Source organism: Homo sapiens, chromosome 13 (assembly GCF_000001405.40).
Source record: "Homo sapiens chromosome 13, GRCh38.p14 Primary Assembly".
Taxonomy (NCBI): Eukaryota; Metazoa; Chordata; class Mammalia; order Primates; family Hominidae; genus Homo; species Homo sapiens.
The window spans coordinates 81,127,815-81,150,935 of NC_000013.11; positions in this window are offsets into that span (position 1 = coordinate 81,127,815).

The window sequence follows — 23,121 nt, forward strand, 5'->3', positions numbered from 1 at the left end:
TTAACAGAATGAAGCATAAAAATCACGTAATCATCTCAATTGATGTACAAAAAACAATGGACAAAATTTAGCACTATTTCATAATAAAAACTCAACAAACAAGATATAGAATTAACCTCCAGATAATAAATGTCATGTATGACAAGCCCACCAGTAACATCATGCACAACAGTGAAAAAATAAACACTCTTCATCTAAGACGAGAAAGATGACAAGGTTGCCCACTCTTGCCACATTTACTCAGCAAGTGCTGCATGTCCTTGCCAGAGCAATTAGGCAAAAAAGCATTCAAATTGGAAAGGAAGAAATGAAATTACTGTTGAAAAGATTAAGTCTCTTAAAATGTATATTCAAAAACAGCTTTTAAATCTTATATTTCAATGGTGAATAGTTATAATGAACATATAGATATTACTTTGGATTTTATATTATTTTGCTTTTCCCAGGATTTGGTCCCTTTTTCATGTTACTTTTTTTAGTGGAATGAACATACTCCTGCAGATTTTTATCCTTAAGGGCAATTTGTGGTGACTGCCTCTACATTGGAAGCCAAGGAAATCAAGTTTTTACCTCTCCTTTCCACTTATATAATCAGATTTTAGGCAATGGAATTGAGTGTATCCAATTTGAGTAACTGGATGTTTGCCCCCCAAACATCATGTTGAAATTCGATCCCCAGCATTGGCAGTAGGGCCTAATAGAAGGTGTTTGAGTCGTGGGAGTGGATTTCTTATAAACGGATTGATGCCAGCCCTGGGATGGGGAACAGGGAGTATGAGTGAGTTATTACTGTTGATTTCCGTGAGAGCTATTTTAGAAAAATAGCTTAGCACATCTTTCCAGTCTCTCTTTCACCATGTAATCTCTTTACTTGATGGATGGCTTTGCCTTCCACCATGAGCGGAAACAGCCTGAGGCCCACACCTATGCCAAATCTTGAAACTTCTAGGCAGGAGAACAGTGAGCTAAATAAACCTCTTTTCTTAGTAAATATATATAGTATATATGTATAATATCATAAGTTATAAATTACCCAGCTTCAAATAAAAATTATCAACATAACTTTTATACAGCAACACAAAACAAACTAAGACACCAACCTAACAATCTTTAACAGAATTCTGACTCTTTAGCCAACAATGCAAGAGCTACTTTGAGGCTGAAAATAAACCATTGCAACTTTAGGGCAACAAGATTAGTGGCTGCAGAGTCCAAAGCAGACTATCTTCACTTTGAGATACTGTATTTTCTGCATTGTCCCTCTTGCCTGCAGAAACCGCCTTGCTGTCTGTCTTTTCCCACACTTAGTTAGCTGGTATCCCATCTATTCCAACATCTCAATAGATTTCCAGTTTCTTGCTTAAGTAACTGAAATATGGTATGGTTACTATTGTTTGAAATCACCCATTCATTAAATTATTCAACAAAGTTCATTGAATGTCTATTCAGTGTCAGCATTGTTTCTGTGAGTCAAGATATATCAATGAAAAAATCAAATATTCCAATGTAAGCTTATGTTTTAAAAGAGAGACATAAACCATAAACAGAAAACATAGTATGTATATTATATCATGTGTTAGCAGTTGATCAACCTTAAGGAAAAATTAAACAAGGTAAAGAAGATCTGGAAGATGGACAGTCAAGAGCAGAAAGAAGAATGAAGTTTCTTATTTCTTTTTTGATGTATCCATTAGATCCATTGTGATCTCAGCATCCTGAGAAATTAAAGCATCTTAACATTTAATAGAAACCTGAACTTTTCTTCATAACAAAAATAAATGTTCAGCATAAAGTTGAGTGGAAAAAGTATTTTACAAAATACTACATGTTACTTCATTATATAAATTATATCTGTAATAGAGAATGGTAAAAATGAATTGAATTGTTCTTAGGGTTACTTTCTAGTGGTGAAGGTGTGAATTATTCATTTAATTTTTAACTTCTTCACTGTCTCAGAATTCTTACATTTCCATGTATAACTTTATAATAAAAACTAAATTAATAAAATTTAACTTCCTGGTAAGATGATAGTTTATGAACTCTCATGTACTCTAACCAAACTTGCAAATAAAGCTTTAAGAAGTCACTAAAGAATACAAAAATTTCTGACAATATAGATCAATGATGTAAATGACCTGTATATCAGAGACTGAGAAATTTCAACTAACTGAAACACTCAAGGGAACTGAATGCAAAAAAAAAAAATCAAGATCTGGTCAAGCATCAATTTTGAACTAGAATAATGATAAAAGTACAACACTAAAGTGAGCAATTACATATAGGCACTATTCTGAGAACTTGCATATAATTTTTATATACTTTATTAGTTTCATTTAATTTTTTCATGAAAAAACTCCATATTACTGGTGAATAAACCAGTAGGCCTGTTATTTGAAGGAAGGCCTGACTTTCATCAAAACCTCATCCCAATTGTCTACTCACATTTCATAGTCATGGGAGTTGGATACACAAACAAATCCAATTTAGCACTCTCCCCATTATTGGAAAAAGTTATTCTTCCAGTAACCAGGTCAGTCTTTGCCACCCTCATTTCAATCTTGCCCAATTCAAACAATTATGTATATATGTGTATGTGTGTGTCCACCTCAATCCTGATAAGCAACAGAGTTTTTTTGGGATTTGATATGGTTTGGCTCTGTGTCTGCACCCAAATCTCATCTTGAATTGTACTACAATAATTCCCACATGTTGTAGGCGGGACCAAGTGGGAGATAATTGAATTATGGGGGTTTTTCCCATGCTGTTCTCATGATAGTGAATGAGTCTCACAAGATCTGATGGTTTTATAAAGGGGAATTTACTGGCACAAGCTCTCTTCTCTTGTCTACTGCCATGTGAATCGTGCCTTTCATCTTCCACCATGAGTGTGAGGCCTCCCCAGCCATGTGGAACTGTGAGTCCATTCAACCTCTTTATTTTGTAAATTGCCCAGTCTCATGTATGTCTTTATCAGCAGCATGAAAATGGGCTAAAACAGTAAATTGGTACCAGTAGAGTGAGGTGCTACTCTAAAGATACCTACAAATGTGTAAGTGACTTTGGAACTGGGTAACAGGCAGGGATTGGAACAGTCTGGAGAACACAGAAGAAGACAGAAAGATGTGAGAAAGTTTGGAACTCCCTAGAGACTTGTTGAATGGGTTTGGCTAAAATGCTGATAATGATATGGACAGTGAAATCCAGGCTGAGGTGGTCTCAGATGGAGATGAGGAACTTGTTGGGAACAGGAGCAAAGGTGACACTTGTTATGTTTGAGCAAAAAGACTGGTGGCATTTTGCACCTGCCCTAGGGATTTTTGGAACTTTGAACTTGAGAGAGATGATTTAGGGTATCTGGCAGAAGAAATTTCTAAGAGGCAAAGCATTCAAGGGGCGACTTGGTTGCTGCTAAAGGCATTCAGTTTTATATGGGAAGCAGAGCACAAAAATTCAGAAAATTTGCAGCCTGATAATTTGATAGAAAAGAAAATCCCATTTTCTGGGGAGAAATTCAAGCTAGCTGAAGAAGTTTACATATGTAATGAGGAGCTGAATGTTAATCCCCCAGACAATCAGAAAATATCTCCAGGGAAGATATGTCAGAGGTCTTAACATCAGTCTGTCTCATCACAGGCCCAGAGGCATAGGAAGAAATAATGGTTTTGTGGGCCAGGCCCAGGATCCCCATGCTGTATGCAGCCTAGTGGCTTGGTTCCCTGCCTCCCAGCCACTCCAGATGTGGCTAAAAGGGACGAATGTAGAGCTTTGGATGTGGCTTCAGAGAGTGCAAGCCCCAAGCCTTGGCAGCTTCCACATGGTGTTGAGCCTGAGAGTGCATAGAAGTCAGGAATTGCAGTTTGGGAACTTCTGCCTAGATTTCAGAAGATGTATGGAACCAACTGGATGCTCAGGCAGAAGTTTGCTGCAGGGGTGGGGCCCGCACGTAGAAACTCTGCTAGGGCAGTGCAGAAGGAAAATGTGGGGTTGGTGCCCCCACACAGAGTCCCTTCTGGGGCACCACCTAGTGAAGCTCTGAGAAGAGGGCCACCCTCCTCCAGACCCTAGAATGATAGATCTACTGACAGCTTGAACTGCACATCTGGAAAAGCTGCAGACACTCAACACCAGCCCATGAAAGCAGCTGGGAGGGAGGCAGTACCTTTCAAAGCCACAGGGGCAGAGCTGCCCAAGACCATGGGAACCTATCTCTTGCATCAGCTTGACCTGGTGGTGAAACATGGAGTCAAAGGAGATCATTTTGGAGCTTTAAGATTTGACTGCTGCACTAGATTTTGGACTTGCATGGGGCCTGTGTAGCCCCTTTGTTATGGCCAGTTTCTCCCATTTGGAATGGTTGTGTTTATCCACTGCCTGTATCCCCAGTGTATCTAGAAAGTAACTGACTTTCTTTTGATTTTACAGGCCCATAGTTGGAAGGGACTTACCTTGTCCCAGATGAGACTTTGGATTGTGGACTTTTGAGTTAATGCTGCAATGAGTTAAGACTTTGGGGGACTATTGAGAAGGCATGATTGGTTTTGAAATCTGCAGACATGAGATTTGTCAGGAGCCATGAGCAGAATGATATGGTTTAGCTGTGTCCCCACCCAAATCTCATCTTGAATTGTACTCCCATAATCCCCAAGTGTTGTGGGAGGCACCCGATGGGAGATAATTGAATTATGGTGGTGGGTCTTTCCTGTGCTGTAATCATGATAGTGAATGATTCTCAGGAGTTCTGATGGTTTATAAACTGTAGTTTCCCTGCACAAGCTCTCTTCTCTGTCTGCAGCCATGTGAGACATGACTTTCACCTTCCACCATGATTGTGAAGCCTCCCCAACCACATGCAACTGCAAGTCCATTACACCTCTTTCTTTTGTAAATTGCCCAGTCTCAGGTATGTCTTTATCAGCAGCATGAAAATGGTCTAATACAGGGTTGAACTCTGAGATTTTAGTCTCTTTTAATTTGTGAGTGGGAAAGAACTTCATTGACAGCCTTTAAGAAGTAGACTTAAATTATAGGAGGATACAAATAGCTTTGCCTTCTCATAAAATGAAATACACACACAAACACACAGACAAAATTTTTCTATATCAATAGAAACAAAAAACAAAGTCTTTCAATAAAGTTTAATGAATAAATAGGAGATTAAGATCTTTAGTTAATGTATAGCTATCGCAAGTCAATTTCAAAAAAAAAAGCTAAGTCTCTATTTTGTATAGAAGAACTCTTCCAATTACATTAGCACTAGCTTAAAAGATTCCAAACTAGAGCATTTATTTTACCACAACTGGTTCTTACCAGACATAACAGATAAAGAACCATGAATTCTTGTGACCTCAGTGTGCCAAACTCTTTCTGGACCTAACCGTAGACACAATCTTGACCAATCAACAATGGTACTTGTTTTAACCAGGTGGATACAGGCCTATGGACTCATTCTTATGTGGTTAGAATATTTTCTTTTTATTCTTAATGAGTCACTTCCTTTCTTTTTAGCATATACAAGCCCTTTAACATTTTTCCTAGCAATCTGGTCAGTGGATTTCTTCACTGTTACATGTCCCCTTGTCTGGCAAGAGGAAAGTGTTTTTATCTTTATATTGCAATCTAAATGAGCAAAAACCAGTATATGTTTCAAGAAAACGTTAAATACCAATGACATACAAATTTAGCTAAACTACACATTTACTGATAATGAAGTAAATAAAAACAAAATAAGAATAATTTTATATTCGCTCAAGAATTTGTTATTATATGGGGGATGAGAGTATATGGAAGTGAATAAAAATATAGAGTAACTGTCTTTAAGTATTTGATTGTATTTTTAAACACTGAAAAACAATACAAATCTAAAGTATGGTAAAATAGGTGCTATCACATACAACTTCATATATACATTGATGCAACAATTTTGAAAAGTAGTTTGGTAGGATACAACAATAGCTATAACATGTGCATATTCAACAATTTTACCACTTGAGCCTCCATCTTGAGAAACTTTATATTAAAAATTATTTGCAAAATTTTTGTATGCTTACTTATAATGAAGAATTAGAAATAATCAAAAGATACAGTGAAGGAACTGCAAAATAGATTATGCCAAATCTGTGTAAACTACATTATGAAATACCAAAAAAGATGCTTATGTAATATCTACCAAAATATAATAAATGACTCAAAATAAATGATACTTATAAGAAAACAAAATTAAAAATTGTATAGTAATATAACCTTATTTGTGTAAAATATGCTGAGAAAAAGTGGATGTTAATAAATAACAATATTTAAAATTATTTGTCTTTAGGTGATCCTTTTCTTTATATTTTTCTATATCACACATTTTCCAAAATAAGAACATTTTCCTTTCTAAAATTTTTTTCAACTTTGCTGTTTCTATGTCATTTTGTTTTGACACTGAAATGTTAGGTTATCAGGAATTAGAAAGACTTTGAAGTAATTTATTTTACTTTTTTTTCTTTTTAGAAATTCTGTGGCGTAACAAGTTGCTGTCACACTGGCTTTTTAAAATATATGTATATATTTGAAATACACATGCACACAACTAAGTTAGATTCGTCCACCGTTACTAATAGAAAACTACAATGTAGTGGCTTAAAAGGAGAAGGAATTCTGTTTCTCATGGTTCAGTGTGAATGAGTGCAGTATTCAAAAACATGAAGTCAGAGTCCAGTACTCAAGTTCTGTATCACTGAACATCCTGTGGAAGGCCACCAGTCAAAGAGCAGCAAGAGCACACCTAAATTAGGATTATTAGCTTGCTTCAGCTAAGGAGAAAGTTCTTCATGAGAGCCATCTAACCTCTTGGAATCAGTTCAATAAGTGGTTATCTCGGGAAGTTTTATTAAGAGTCAGAAGAAATGAAGCTAGGCTGGGCATGTCTTTGCTCAGAAGAAAAAATTGTTACCATCTTGCATTAGCTTTGTGGTCTTTTTGAATAATAATTATATTACCAAAACTAGAGAGAAAAAGTAAAAGATCTATAGCATTGCTAACATCTACTGTATGTAATTTGTTATATTTTTTATTATGTATAATAAATGCTATTCAGGCTCTTCTCAATATTACATGCTTACATTTCAGCTAAGAAAATGGTAAATTGTATTCCATAGACATATAACTTGTAGAAAAATCATTAATTTAAAAAGAGCCATAGCCAGGCACTGTGGCTTATACCTATAATCCTAGCTATTCACGCTGTCTAGATGGGAGCATCCCTTGAGTCCAGTAGTTCCAGGCTGCAGTGAGCTATGATCCTGCCACTACACTGCAGCCTGGGAAACAGAGGGAGTTCCCCATCTCTTGAAAAAAAAAGCGGCATCCATATTCTAAGTATAAATTATTATTATTTGTCTAGGTTTTGCCAATGCACTTTATTATATAATATTAAGTATTGATTAAACTTACATATGGTATACAATTAGCTATTTCTTTCCTAAATGTAAGAAATCTTCTTATGTTTTTATGTTTTTAAGAAGAGGAAAACTAACCTGAATCTTAAACACATTTCATGTATGATACACTTCCTATATTACTCTTATAAGACAAAGACAATATCAAATAAAGAAAATCTTGACAATTATGTAGTCATAAGCTTTTAAACAAGAACCAAATAGATACTAGATGAATTTTCTCCTTTGGATATAAAAAAAAATACTGAAGATGTAGTCATTTCGGGCAGCTGCATTCCATATTTAGGGAAAGTTATACAGTTTTTTTTTCAAAAAAATATTAAATATTATTAAGATATTGAAAGAAAATGAGATATGTTATGCATGTTCCTAGTATATCCCACACTAATAAACACATTTTTACAAAACTTTATAATATAATAGATATGTAATGATGTATTTATATAATGTGATTGTTTTCTAAAAGCAGTAAAACAACAAAATATTCAAAGTCTATTTATATATATTAATATTATGTTTTGTAAATTTTTTCTTCTAATTGAACTTTTAAAACAGTTTTAAAGTACTGTCAGAAACTTATGGTGATGACTTTGAAAAATAAAGGATAATATAGGAAATGACTAGTTACACTGCCTCAGTGAGTGGATTTTTGTGTGTGTGTGTGTTTTTTTTTTTTTTTTTTGTGGAATGTTGTATGATACCAGAGCAATGAGCCCCTGGTTATTAAAAGAGTGTCTTTTATGAAAACCTTAAGTTATCGATTGGCAATATAAACTCTACTGTTTAAAAAGAACTTAAGGTAAAATATGAGGAGAAAGAAAAAAAATGCTGAGACGAAACAGGTCCATAAAATACAATGGAGTATAAAATGTAGTTTTAATATAGAAAAATAAAAATGATGTAGACACAGAGTGGTTCTCACAAGGAAGTATAAGTATTAGTTAAAAATACTTTGGGGATATACACAAACAAGACCGATATAGAAACATGGAGAGTAGTTTCAATATTCAAATGAATTTACACAATGTATACAATATACATACAAATATAACATTTATTTGAAAGGCATAGGTTGGATTTAATAGATGTAACACAATATTAGATAAATCCCCATTTAAAACCAGTCATCTTTAAAATCAGGTAGATAAGTGTAAAACTTTTTCATATTTTAAAAAGCTATGATTAATTTTATTTTAATTTAGAATTATTTTTAAACAAATTTAAATGTAGTAATGCTATTTGTCAAAAATGCAAATGACTCAACACAAGTCTACATGTTAATAACATGAGCATTGTTAGTAAGCAAACTAGTCAGAGAGGTGATATTTTCCTTATACTATTAAAAAATTGTGTCAAGAAAATAAATAGCTATAATAAAAGCATTCTGTCAAATGGCTATACTTTTATAAAATCATATCAAAACATTGAATTTACTTCCTGATTTCTTTTAGCAGATAAATGCTACTCAAGTGAAAGAAGGCAATACCTCCCCCTCCTCTGGGGATGAGGGGTGAAAGGAATTTTTTGGAAATGTGTGAATTTTCGAGTTTATAATAATGACTGCAAAGAGGGAATAGAATTTCAACCCCAGAGGTCAAGAAAGCAAACTGTTTTCTATGACCCAGAAAATGTCTTCACAGCAAAGATGAATCATGTAACCAAAATGCCAATAGTGGCTTTGTTGATAACAAGTAAAATGAGCAAACAGAACTGTTAACTTTGTACTCAATTTGGATCACTGATAACGTCATGATTAATCAAAGGAAATGTATTTTATACGGCTCATGCCTGTAATCCCAGCACTTTGGGAGGCCGAGGCAAGCAGATCACTTGAGGTCGGGAGTTTGAGACCAGCCTGACCAACGTGGAGAAACCCCATCTGTACTAAAAATACAAAATCAGCCGGGCGTGGTGGCACATGCCTCTAATCCCAGCTGCTCGGGAGGCTGAGGCAGGAGAATAGCTTGAACCTGGGAGGCAGAGGTTGCAGTGAGCCGAGATCATGCCATCGCACTCCAGCCTGGGCAATGAGAGCAAAACTCCATCTCAAAATAAAATAAAATAAAATAAAAATAAATAAATAACCACGAAATAAGATATAATACCTTAGATTACAGAAAATCTAGATAATTCTGTATTATAATGCAGAAAAAATATGTTATGATACAAGTGTATTATAATTCTCTATTATTATAAAACAGCATTATCAAGGGAAAGAAGGGCATCTTGCCTTTCTATACCTAACTCCGTATTTAAAAAAAAATTATCAATGCAGTCCATGTTTTAAAGCTTTTTTGATTGTGGTAAAATGCACACATCAGAAAATGTGCTATTTAAAGTGCACAATTCAGTGGCAGTTAGCGAAGTACCTTACTCCTGGCTAAACCCCTACCTGTGATTTTTTTAGGCACAAGTACAGGCAACTACAAAGGTTTACCTGGCAGGCCTCAAGGAGAAAGGCTGCCTTCTCCACATCAGACTTGGTGCATGCACAACAAACACGCTGCAGTCTCTGAAGAAAACTGTACTCGAGGACTGAGGCTCCCCAGGCCAGCCATGTACTCAGGCATAGCTGCAATTCTAGCCCAGGTGCCACCATTCAGAGGCCTCTTTAAGGTCTTTATTGGACAAAAGCCTTTCTCAGATGTCTCTACTAAGATCTCACTATGGGGTGCGGGAGATTTGAAGACAGTGTTCCCCACTCTGACTGGGGACACAGCACTTTATCGTTCTTAGCCCTTCCCCCTCCCACTTCCTCTGGCCTCTAGTCCATAAAGCAGCTGGGGCCTTTTGTTTAAATTCCCTTGGCAGTGAAATGACCCCCAAGCCCGTGCTGATCCACCTAACCCTTTTATGACACCGTTACATGTGGAAAAATGGAACAGTGTGGGAGCTGGAACTTTCCCTGGGTTAGCCTCTTTCTTGCACTATTTCAGGAAAGGATTAACAGGCCTAGCTGTTAATTTCATTTTGACTTATCTAAATGGACAACTTTGACACATGACATGTCAGGTCTTTCAGGTACTGACCACAGGTTCTCAGGCCCTCAATGTAGTAGAAATAAATGTGAGGCAAAAAGAGTTTTTCCCAACAAGGCTTTATTGGGGTTGATGCCTGGGCAAAATGGAGGCAGCATAAAAGAGAGAGAATTCTCTGGCTGGCTCCCCATAGAGAGTGAGGACAGTAATTTTAAAGAGGTTAAAGCAAGAAAGGAGTGACGTTTAAGCATACAGAGGCAGGGAGTGACTGGTACCTGCCCACTTTGGTGACATGCTTCTTCGTGCATTGCATGTGAAATCTCCACCCCTAGGCATGATCGTTGGTAGTATAAGGAAGCTAAGGTAAAGGTTGATCATTCTGGTCTTGTACATATGGGGAAGATAGGGTTAACTCCCTTAAGTAAGTTTTATGGTGGAAGCTGTTTATTTTAGCTTCCTCAAAGTCTAGCAATCAGTGGGTATGTCACCTTAGGCAAGATTTAAGGTGTGGCTTCAGATGGTCTGACTGGGGACCCTGCTGGCCACGGGGCCCCTGCTCCCCACCAACTGTAGTAGATGCCCTCAGTGGAGTGCGAGGTGGTGGCGGCGAGTCTTGTCTCTATTCTCTCTCACCCCCAGCTGAGCTCCTGACATTGGTACATTCACAATATTGCACAACCATCACATTGTCTAGTTTCAGAACATTTTCATCACCCGAAAGAGAGATGATAATGGAATAAATATTTCTCAGCAGGTGGAGGGGTGGTTATCAGAAACTTCTAGCATTATATAACACACATTCATTTTCAATTAAGTGGATTGAATTTTTTTAGAGTTTTCATTAAGGGACACTAAAATATTGAGAGCTATGAATGGGAGTGAATTAAGGTCTTAGACTATAGCTGTGTTCAAGCATTTAAAGAAGTATCTGTCATTTAGTTACCATTTATCTATTCAAATCCAAAGGATAGATTAAAAAGTGGAGATTAGAAATTTCAAAGAAATATAAATAAGTGGAATTTGAGAATTTTTAAAAGCTTCTAATATTTTAAAAAATCTTTTAACAATGAAAAATAAACTTTTTCAATTAGAATTGTATGAAACTTTCTAAACTTGATGGAAAGTTGAATTACATGATACCAATTTTCATTTCCATAGGTAACTATTGCTGAGTTAATTTGCTTATCAAACAGAATTCAGAGGTAAAAATTAAAAACAATATCACTAAGATCAAAACTATTTTAGCATATTCCAAAATATTTTCATTTCAATGTTTTCTATCTGAATCCATTCTTCTGTAACTCAATTAGTCTGTGTCTTGACAGTAAACATAAACAGCAAGTATGTTAAAGAGAGGGAATTTAATACATAAGAGAGTTATGCAGATGATATTGAAAAATCTAAAATAGCAAGTAAAGGGTGATGAAATAATTCAAAGAATAATAACTGTAGGAAGCAGCTACCATTTATATAGCTGAGGAAACAATAAAGGGATGGATGATGTTACTAGAATAAAAGAAAGAGATGGTGTTACTAGAACAAAAGGGCTCAGATTTTGTTGATTTATATTATTCCAGCCTGCAGAATATGTGTGGGAATCAATTTTAAGGATGTGGTTTGAAAGAGTACAGAATGTATCATTGCACAGGGCCAAATGTGTTGATATAGCCGCACTTCTCAGAGACTCTTCATTTAATATGTTAAATCTGCTCTAATATTTTGTTAGCTTTGCTGACTGAAATCTGGGCTTAGCGGTTGCCAACATTCAGTGAGGCCGAAATATCAGAAATTCTCTAACATAATGTAGAGGGAAAAAATTCAAAAGCTTAGGAAAATAGGAATGTTGGAATGGATGTATCATATGCCATCTGCTTCCCCATTATATAGTATAAGAGGCCTGAGAGGATATCCCCTTCCCTAAGGCAGTGATAATACATGACCAGAATGGAGAGAGACACATCATTAAAATGCACTGTGGCAGCAGTCCTCCGTAGGCTGGGGAAGATGGTGGAAATGAATCATTCACTGAGATGGGCTTTCTTTTTACAGTGATGATGAAGGGTCCCAGAAGGGCGCAAGCCCAACCAAATATTTACATGTTAAAGCAGAAAGAAGGGGAATACGTTCTATAATAAACAGCATAACAGGAATAAACAAAGACATAACAGGAATTCTGTGACTCCCATGGATCTTTGACAGATGCTAATTAGTAACAGAATCCTCAGTTTGAGTAGAATGGCATTCAATTAAAGTATTACTTGATGTTTGTGACACAAACTCTGGATTTGGTGGACAGAAACCTTATTTATGGAAGCAATTGTCAGAGTCCCTTCAAAAATATAAATTATAGATCTTCCTCCAGTCTTCTCTAAAAAGACTTTCAGTCTTTTCTATGTTCACTGTGCATCACGGAAAGGGAAAATTTGGTAGATTTCCTGTTATTGATTCTGGTTTTGTGGCAGGCCAGGTCTCACTAACGCAGGCTTCCATAACAACTGTTTCAGTACTGAGCGGTTAAGTGAAATATTAAAGACTGAAAGAGCCAGTGTTCTTATACAAAGCCTGGAATGTAACAAAAGCCCACCAAGAGTTTTGCCTAGGCATTTCCTGGGCCTTAAAACATGACAAAATAACAAAGGAATTCTTAACAGGACCCATTTGGGATTAAACAACTTTTATTAGGGATCTGAAGAAAATCCCCAGGCCTCCACAAACAAGTGGAGGAATTCCCCAAACCTCCCTGATTTAGCAGGAGACAAGATAAAGGTAATCACCTCAGCACCTGGACCCATTTAGATTAAGTAAATTTACTGAGGCTCCAGAGGACGGTCTTGAGGACTCAGATCTTAGTTACAGATTAAAAGAAGTTAATCACTTATGTCTTTAGATGAATGCACACTTACACATAGACATATAGCTTAGAAGGTAGATAAACTCTGGAAGACTTTGTAATTTTGAGTTGGTCTGGTGATATTTTCCAGGTCTTTTATGTGTAACCAACCGATTACAGAAATAAAAACTCTCTTCCTCTCCAGTTCATCTGCATCTCATTATTGGGCCATGAAAGCATCAGTAACCAAAAATGGCATTAAGGGTCACTGGTCAAACTGGGGATTATGAGAGTCAGTCCAAATAAGTAGTCTTGATTCAAGTTCTTCTTCAACCAAGTTTATCTACATAAATATCTTATAGTGTGGACTTAGTTTCTAATATAATTATATTCAGTAACTGACAGAATACCCACATTCAGTTCTCTAACTGGCGAGGTGAATTATTATCGTAAGAATAACCACATGGAAGTCTATGAAAATGTTTCTCCCTATTTGTTTGTAATCCAAGAGCAATGCTACTTCCCTGTGAGTACTGCAGAGATTAGCGTCACTATAAAAGACTTCAAAGATGCAGAGCTAGTAGTTCCTATCACAATGTTATATAAATAACTCCTTTGTCCATGCTATACGTGAAAAGATCTTGAGAAGTTATTGTGAATTAACATAAACTTAATTGGGGAAGACATAAATTGCAGCTGCTTTTCCAGCTGTGGTAAATTAAGGAAACAAGTCCTTATATTCTCTGACACATGACATTTGGTTATTGATTTAGCAGATGGTTTTTTCTATACGAGGAGTGCCATGGGATGAAATGTGTTCCCCTGAAATTCCTGTGTTGAAGTACTAACCCACAATACCTCAGAATGTGATCTTTGTAAATGAGATCATTGAAGATGTAATTTGTTAACATGAGCTCACACAGGGGTTTGGCGGAATATAATTGAAATCCTTTATAAAAGGGGAAATTTGGACACAGATACACACACAGGGAGAACACCATGTGAAGACTGGAGATATGCTGCCATGAACCAAGGAACTATTAGAAGCCCCTAGTGCTTTCAAGGGGAGCACGGCCCTACCAACACACCTTAATCTCGGAGTTCTATGGAAAACTAACACAAGGGGTCAGAGATGTTTTATTTTGTTGCTGTTGTTTTTGTTTTTCTGTAAAGGGACATCTAGTAAATATTTTAAGCTTTCTAGGCCATTTCATCTCTAACACAAATACTTAGCTTTTGTATAGCACAAAATTGTGGCAGGAAAATAGAGTCCGGAGGGTGGGAACATAAAGCCAGTTTACACTTCAGCTATAACAGGAAATATCCTCTCCATAGGTCATGGGCCGTAAATGACTTTGTAACTTTACTTCAGTCTCTCCATTTACACAGGGTGTACCTGAAGTAACCAATGGAATCCTCTAGGGGGTATTTAAAGACTCAAAAAAATTCTGTAATGGGGCCTTAGAGCCCCTATGCTCTGCCTGCTCTCACACTGTGGAGTGTACTTTATTTTCAATAAATCCCTTAGTCCCTTCCTTGCTTTGTCTGTAAGTTTTGTCCAGTTCTTTGTTCAAGGCGCCAAGAACTGGACGCTCTCCACCATTAATAAAATTAGCCATAGGCAGTATGTAAAGAAATGAATATGACAGGATTCCAGTAAAATTTAAAAGCAAACACACAAGCAAAAAGACAGTGGGCTGAATGTGGTCTGTCTGGTTGCTCTGGTTTGCATATCCTTATTTTAGACCAATTGGCAGTGCAGTGCCAGCAACATGTTTGTTCTCACCTTGCAGCAACAAATGTGTATCTTCATAGTTTTGCCTCAGGGTCGTGCCAACTGTTCTGCCTTCTACCACATTTTAGTCAGTCTAGATCTTGATCATCTTGGCATCCCATGGAATAACTGACCCATTACATTTCTGACATCATATTAATTGGATCTAATGTGCAAATGTTGCAATTACCTGAGACCCTTTAGTGTGTTAGAGAGTGAGGAATAAAACCTGTTCCCTCTACCAAGTACTTTAGCAGTCAGGGTCCATTGAAGACTATTGAACCCACACTAACTATTTAAACAAAAAGAATTTCAAACAGGGAATTAGTTATACATGTAACAAAACTGGAAGTAAAAATAGGTGATGCTGAGATAACACAGATATTGCTTGCAGGAAGCAGTTCCCATATCTAGGCTGAGGGGAATATAAAAATGTGGTTTACAGTAATATGGGCCCTGTCTTCATTGATTTGGGCTGCTATAACAAATATGATAAACTGGACAGCTTGTAAAAGATAGAAATTGATTTCTCACGATTCTGGTGGCTGGGAAGTGAAAGATTAAGGTGCTGGCAGATTTGGTGTTTGGTGAAGGACACCGGAAGTTGTCATGCTGCTGCCTCCTCACTTGGCAGAATTGCCAAGGCAGCTCTTCAGGCCTCTTTTATAAGTGCACTAATCCCACTCATGAAGGTTCTCTACTCTCATGATCTAATCACCTCCCAAAGCCCCCACTTCCTAATAGCATCACATTAGGGATTAGGTTTCAACATATGAATTATGAGGGGACACAAACATTCAGACCATAGCATGATTGATTACAGGAACTGATCATTATGCTATGTGATCAGATGTCTGAGGGACATACCACATAGCTAGGGCTCAGACCTCTGGAAAATCACAGCACTATTGGTGCTTAGACCTAAGTTCTGGTACTTAGAACTACAAAACAATGTGGTTGGCTGGTGTAAATACATGGAATGGCTGTGGCTAGCAACGATAAAGGAAGCTGAAATCTGGGCTCTACAACTGGTATAATACTGACTTAGACTAGAGAAGCGAAGATTTTTCTCTTCCCCAAACTCAAATGTTTTCAACTGCCAGATTCATAGAAGAAGGCAGCTGGCAATGTGTTGCAAATTCAGCCCCAGAAACAGAAAGCCTCTAAAAGAAAGGCCTTAAGGCCAATAGAATATTGATAAAGAATAAGCAGGAAATATAATGAATTGCTCTTTTAGATATTTTAATTCAATTTCAAATGTTTATGTAAATGAAAGTTTTCTGGAATTAGAGAAAATATACCTCTTGATTACACTCTGGGTATGCATAATTTCCAGGGGGCAGAGTAGAACTGTAGAGGACAAATACTAAATATGTTTGTTTTTGTAGCTTGACAAAGCACAAAGAAGGGAACAATGTTCAGTCTGGCTTTCAGCTGTGATGGTGTATCATGAACAAGTAGGAAAACATTGCCAAGTGTAAAGGCATGGGAACGGTTTCTGTACTTATCCGCTTAGAACAGGCATATTAAAGAGATTTTCTATTAAATGTCATTATGCTTGAGAAACTACCAAAATAAGTCTTGTAGAGTAACACAACTCACTTTGTTATCCAACATCAAAGTGTAACTAAAATGACCCAACCAATGTTCAAAAAGGAAATAAAAATTTATCTATGTTGAGAAAACCATCCACAAATTTATAGTTTCTACAAAATTATATACTGTAATATGTTCAGTATAATTAGCAAATAACATCCAAAAATTTTATTGTCAATTAAAAGTAATACTAACAATATCAAAAACAAACCAGAATGGATAACATGCAATTTAAGAGACAGAGCAATGTGTAGAAATTTTAAAAAGGCTTATTTATTAGCAACAGAAACCAAATTATATATAATAAATGTAAATATAATTAAGATAATCAAGAATTATTTTACTAGTAGAACACTCAAAAGAGATAAACATTGTGAATGTAGTATTTTGGCAAGAATGTTATTTGCCTATCTCTCCCTATTTATGTTCCAAATGTGGTTTATAAACATACAGTAAGTTTTGTCAATTCATGCATTTATATTTTAAATTTGAGATATATGTTTTTCAACATGGATTCATGAAACAATTATACAGACAAGTATTGAACTCATATTAATAAATGAAAACTATATGCGTTTTATTATAGACCTAACTAAATGATAAATATACAGTGTACTGTGCAGAATAACATATCTAGAGTTAAAATTTTAAGTGTCTTAATGATATGAAATTTCATGTGCCAGTTTGAATTAGAAATTAGTTTTACTTCTATTCCTGACTCCTTTTTTATTTGTGCATCATGTAACATCTTTGGATTCTTCTCAGTGTCCCAAAGTCTTATTTTACCACATCCTTTTTTTATTGTGATGGCATTTTCTTTTTCTTGGCCCAGTTACTATCACTATTCTTAAATGTGCACTTATGTTCCACCTTAATACATTGTCTTATCAACCGTCCTTTCTTAAAAAGCCTTCAGGATATTTCTTAAAAATCCTTCAGAATATCCCTTCAGGATATTCTGCATATAGGACTGGTTGTTGCTTTTGCTTCTGCAACCTGCTTCTGCCTAGTATGACTCTGCTGTCCTCTAGGTGTATCTCTGCTGTCTCCAGAGTTGCAGATGGGGAGCACCTGGGCACTTTTCTATTGGGAAGTCACAATCTGATTAAAATAAGATCTGAACCTCAATTTCATACAGGACACAGAGAAAATAAGCATAAAAGAGATAGAGAAAAAGGGGGCAGCATGGACAACATCAAGGGCAAGGGGAAAACTTGAAGAACATGTTTCTATAGATGTGAAAAATATTAATTATAAAGAAATTGTATGGTTGATCAAGACAAAAGCTTCCAAATAAAATTCCTTTAGAATAAATTTAGTTCTTCACAAACAGGTACTTTGAATGTAACACATTAACTTAGAATGGTAACTTCTGGCTCATTTGCCAAAACGAATCAATATGTAGAAGTCAGTTTTCTTGCCCATGGTCAGGATCTGGTCTGCAGGTGCCTTTAGTGTGTCAAAAATAGTATTAAAATATGAGCATCACTGAAAATGTTAAAGTAAATTACAAAGTAATCTACATTTCCACTACTTTATTTACCATATGTTTACCTTCAATTTATAGAGTAATTGACTAGTAATCAGTTACCCAAATAAGAGTTAATTTTCTCCCACGAAAATGTTCATAGTGACAATATTGTTGCTATTGGTTTAGCTACTCAACAGTATTGATTCCAATGTCCCAAGATGGATATTGAAGCTCCAAATATCACATATTCTTTAAGTAAGGAAGAAGAACAAAGAAGATGCTAACCACATTAGTCATCTTTTATGAAGAGAACAAAAGCATTGTCATAGTCCTGAAACCCACTACAGCTGGTTTACTTTTTTGGTCCACAATTGATTCACATAGACATTCTTAGCTGAAAGGAAGATCAGAAATAATCACCAGAGTTAGGTATTTGCTGTCTTTCCAGAATATTTTTTTTTAACTCACAAAGAAAGAACAGATTTGGAGTAGGTAGCACACAATGTCAAACATACCCACATACATACTTTGTATGTACCACATACAAAGATAAGAAGAACTGAAACATAGGACCCCGTTTCTACATGGCATCAATTGGCTGTAGTTGGAAGCATATCCTTTCCACCAGATATCCCATTAATTTTATTGCTTGTGAGTCTCCTTTATGAATTTCTGATTATGATCCCTGTATTTCTTTTTTTTTTTTTAACTTTTAACTAAAAAGTAAACTTTAATGTCGAAAATGCAAACTTGGGGAAGACAGAAAAGATCACACACAAGGCTGTCTCTTCACACTTAGAAGGTTGCACAGCGGCCGGGCAGAGGCGCTCCTCACCTCCCAGATGGTGGGCAGCCGAGCAGAGGCGCTCCGCACTTCCCAGTTTGGCAGCCGGGCAGAGGCGCTCCTCACTTACCAGACGGTGGGGAGCCGATCCCCTTATTTCTGTATGTATTAGTCTGTTTTCACAGTGCTATAAAGAAATACCCAAGACCGGGTAATTAATAAAGAAAAGAAGTTTAATTGACTCACAGTTCCACATGGCTGGAGAGGCCTCAGGAAACTTACAATCATGGTACAAGGTGAAGCAATGACCTTCTTCACATGGCAGCAAGAGAGAGAAGTGCAAAGAGGGGAAGTGCCAGACACTTATAAAACCATCAGATCTCAGGAGAACTCACTTACTATCATGAGGAGAGCATGGGAAAAACCAACCCTATGATCCAATCACCTCCCATCAAGTCTCTCCCTAGACATGTAGGCATTATGGGGATTACAATTCAAGATGAAAGATTTGGATGGGGAAACAGCCAAATCGTATCTCTGTAGTAAGAAAGGACTTGACTATTTATCTTAGAGCATAAAATGGCTCTATTTAATGACTAAGCCATTCTTTAAGGCAAACAGTTTCTCCATTTTTTCAGTCTCTCTTTACACTTTGCTTAATTTCCTGGTTTTTCTCAGATTTCTTTCTTTTTATTGCCTTCTTTTTTTTTTTTTTTTTTTTTTTTTTTTTGCTTCTATCTCCTTTCTCTACTTTTTCTCTTCTCCAAATTCTGCTTTTGGTTGTGATCAGATACATTTAATAACACATTTTTTTGTTTCCAATCCCCTGCGTTATCTTTTCATTGAAATATTCTCTCTTCTCCTCTCCCCTTCTCTCATACCACGTTTTGTGCTCCCAACTCATTTCATTTTGTTTTTCACTCTCACCTTCCATTGTGCTCTTTCTGTTTACATGCTATATTTCACTGTTTTCCTCATTGTTTTTATAGCTCGTTTGTTTTCTGCTTTGTAGCTGATTGTTTTCCTCCTCTATTTCAAGGTCATAGGCCTCAGTCTCTCATAATTTTCTCTATTGAATTATTGCTTTTACTTCTAGCAGAAATTCACGTAAATTTGAGTGTGATGTGAGATTTTCCAATAGTTAAACACATTCTTTTACTAGTAGAAGATTAACCAAATTATTCCTAATTATGTAAGCATCCAATGCACATAAAACTGAGTTTGAACACTTCCTTAAGGAAAAAGAATATGATCTCATCAGTTTCAGTAGGGTTATATAAAGTACTTTGCATCAAGTGCAGACTTTCTTATGTCATAGAAAAAGTCTTAAGAAAGTAAGCTGAGAACTATAATGGCAAGATAAACAAAGAAACTGAGAGAGGACATAGATGGATGGTAGAATGATTAATGCTGTATCTACTCAGTACAGGTGTTTGGTACTTAAGCAAGTGGTTAGAAAACAAATTGAACATTTATTCTTCCTGACAAAGGGATTAAGAAATGTGGTTGATTATACCTTTATAAATGAAGCTTTGAGTAAACTACTGTCTTGATTGATTTCTTTGGTATTTGCTAACACTGCAATTGAACATTCTGTTGGGAATTCTTTTGTTTGTGTTTGCTTCCTGAAGATGTGAATTAACTTTTAATTAATGGGATTAATAAAGACATTATGAAACAGCAGTGATTGGTTTATTAATAACTATACTGGATCTAACCAAATACAAAACATTTCAAAGGCATACGACTTTCTCAACATTAAAATGACAAAGCTTAGAGAACATTTCACTAGCACTTGATGGTGAAAATAATCTTACAGTGGAATTTAATAATGAGTCCACCACCCTACTGTTTATTTGAAAGCAAAGAGCCAGGTTTTTTTATTCCAATTTATTCAAACTAGATTTCATCACCCATCAAGCATTTTGAGCACTTTCTACTTACCAGGCACTGTAAGGATACAAAGTTGAATACAACAGCAGGGGCGGTTAATACATTTGAAGATCTGGCAAGGTGGTATTAAAAGCCATGATGAGGATTATAAACAAAGCAAAATGATGCTCTGAAATGAAATCATTTGAGTGGTGGGAGCTTCTCTTGGACACATTGGTCAGAGAAAGCCACTCTGAAAAGTTGCTACTTAAAAATGAGACCTGAAAGGTGACAAATGGCCAGCCATGTAAGGAATGAGCAGAAGAGCATTTGAGACAAGGGATCCCAAGCAGGTCAAATCACCTTAGGTAGAAATCAATTGGTTTGTCAATAATCAGAAAGAATTACCAGTATAGTAGTAGGATATTGTGACCGTTGGACTTTGGCAGCTAGGTCAGTTAAGAAGTTTATATATATTGTTCTAAGTGCAGTGGGAAACAGACTATTAATGTGGCTTTCAGTTCCGTAATTTGTAATGAAATATATATTTGTTGTGAACTTTTAACACTTATAAAACCATTTGTTATAAACAAATGCAACTATATGTTAAAGAGGGAAGTATAATAAGCCCTCATACATCTGTCACTGAGATTATACTACTAATGTTTTTATAAGTGTTCTTACCCTTTCAAGTGATTTATCTCCACACTCAAAGGGCTATCACATGCCATTTTTACATACCTAATTGTTGGAAAGAAGTATATATGTCTTTTCTCTAACACATACCTCTTGAGAGACTGCAATAAATGATATATTCATTTTTTGTAGATGTAACTGTATAAGGTGGATGTTACTGAGCAAACAACGGGCTCGCTGCTGTGCCACACACAGAGGTCAATACAATGGCACTGGCATTTGAGAAAAGAAAGGTTTTATTGCAAGTCACCTGGCAAGGAAATAGGAAGAAAAATCTATCTCCCTGCGCTGGGGTCTGGGGGGCAGGTTGGATAGGCAGAGGATAGTTATTGGGAAGATAGGAAGATATGATGAGGTGTGATCTGATTGGATCATGCAGAGATGGAGTAATGGGTTCTTGTCTCTTAAGTCCATACTGCAGCAAAACAAAGTCACCTTGTTTTCATTATGAGTCTTACATGTTCTCACTTAGGAGGAAGAGCTCAATGATGAGAACACATGGACACATAGAGGGGAACAACACACACTGGTGCCTTTCAGAGGTGGGAGGGTGGGAGGAGGGAGAGGACCAGAAAAATAACGAATGGGTACTAGGCTTAAACCTGGGTGATGAAATAATCTGTACAACAAACCCCCATGACACAAGTTTACCTATGTAACAATCCTGTGTTTGAACAACTGAACTTAAATAAAAGTTAAAAATAAAGACAACAAAGTGATTTTAAATATCTCACATTCAGAAACAAAAACTTACAAGTATTGTGGAAAGATACCTTGCTGGGATTTATTAAATATTAAATTCTTCTTAACTAGCGAGTACCCATTCCTATAGTCTTTATCAACAAAAGACTGAGGCAAGAGAAGGAATCAGTGACCATGAACCACCAACAGAGGGTTTGAGTGTTTCTCTCCACACACACATCTTGCAAATCGAATGAAGAGTCAGGGTAGGAGCAGCATCAACCAAACATTTTAGAAATTGAGGACTTTGCTGGGGCAGACAATCTCAGAAACAAGAGGGTTTGGAGTGACCACTTTCTACAGCTTGTCAGAGGTGTAATCAGGCAAAATGGCCTTCCTTAGCAAACTCCTCCATCTCACCACAGGACCCCCGAAATACTTACACTTTTGCACCACCAGAGTGCCAGTGTTTAGATGCCATTCATAGCAGCCGGTTGCTGTGAAATCAGGAAACATAGTGAACCAAGAGTAATTAATGATATTCCCTCAGAAGAGTACCTTTCACATTTCTTTTCTCTCTTTCCTACCTAACATGACAAAAAAAAACAAAAAACAAAACAAAAAAGAAAACAGATTTGGAGTGAAACTGAATAACAGAGAATATTTTAATATACGCAACTAGTCAGAAAGTTGTAAGATCTTCTGCCATGTCATTTTATCACTCAGGAGCCTAAAACAAAATTGATGTTATATGCAATTTAGTATGATTTCAGGAGAATTAAATAAATGGGCTATTAACAAGCGTGTGGATAGGTCATCAAAAGACACAGGATAGTGCAGTAGCCAGAGTTAACAACAGCAGGACTGCAGCTTCCTTAAACCTGAAGGAGAGAATGGTTACTGGATCTCAAAGGAGAGTCATATGGCCAAACCATAATAAGAGGACCTGTGACCTTCAGTCACAGGTGAGCTGGAAAATAAATGTGCTGACCTAATTCTC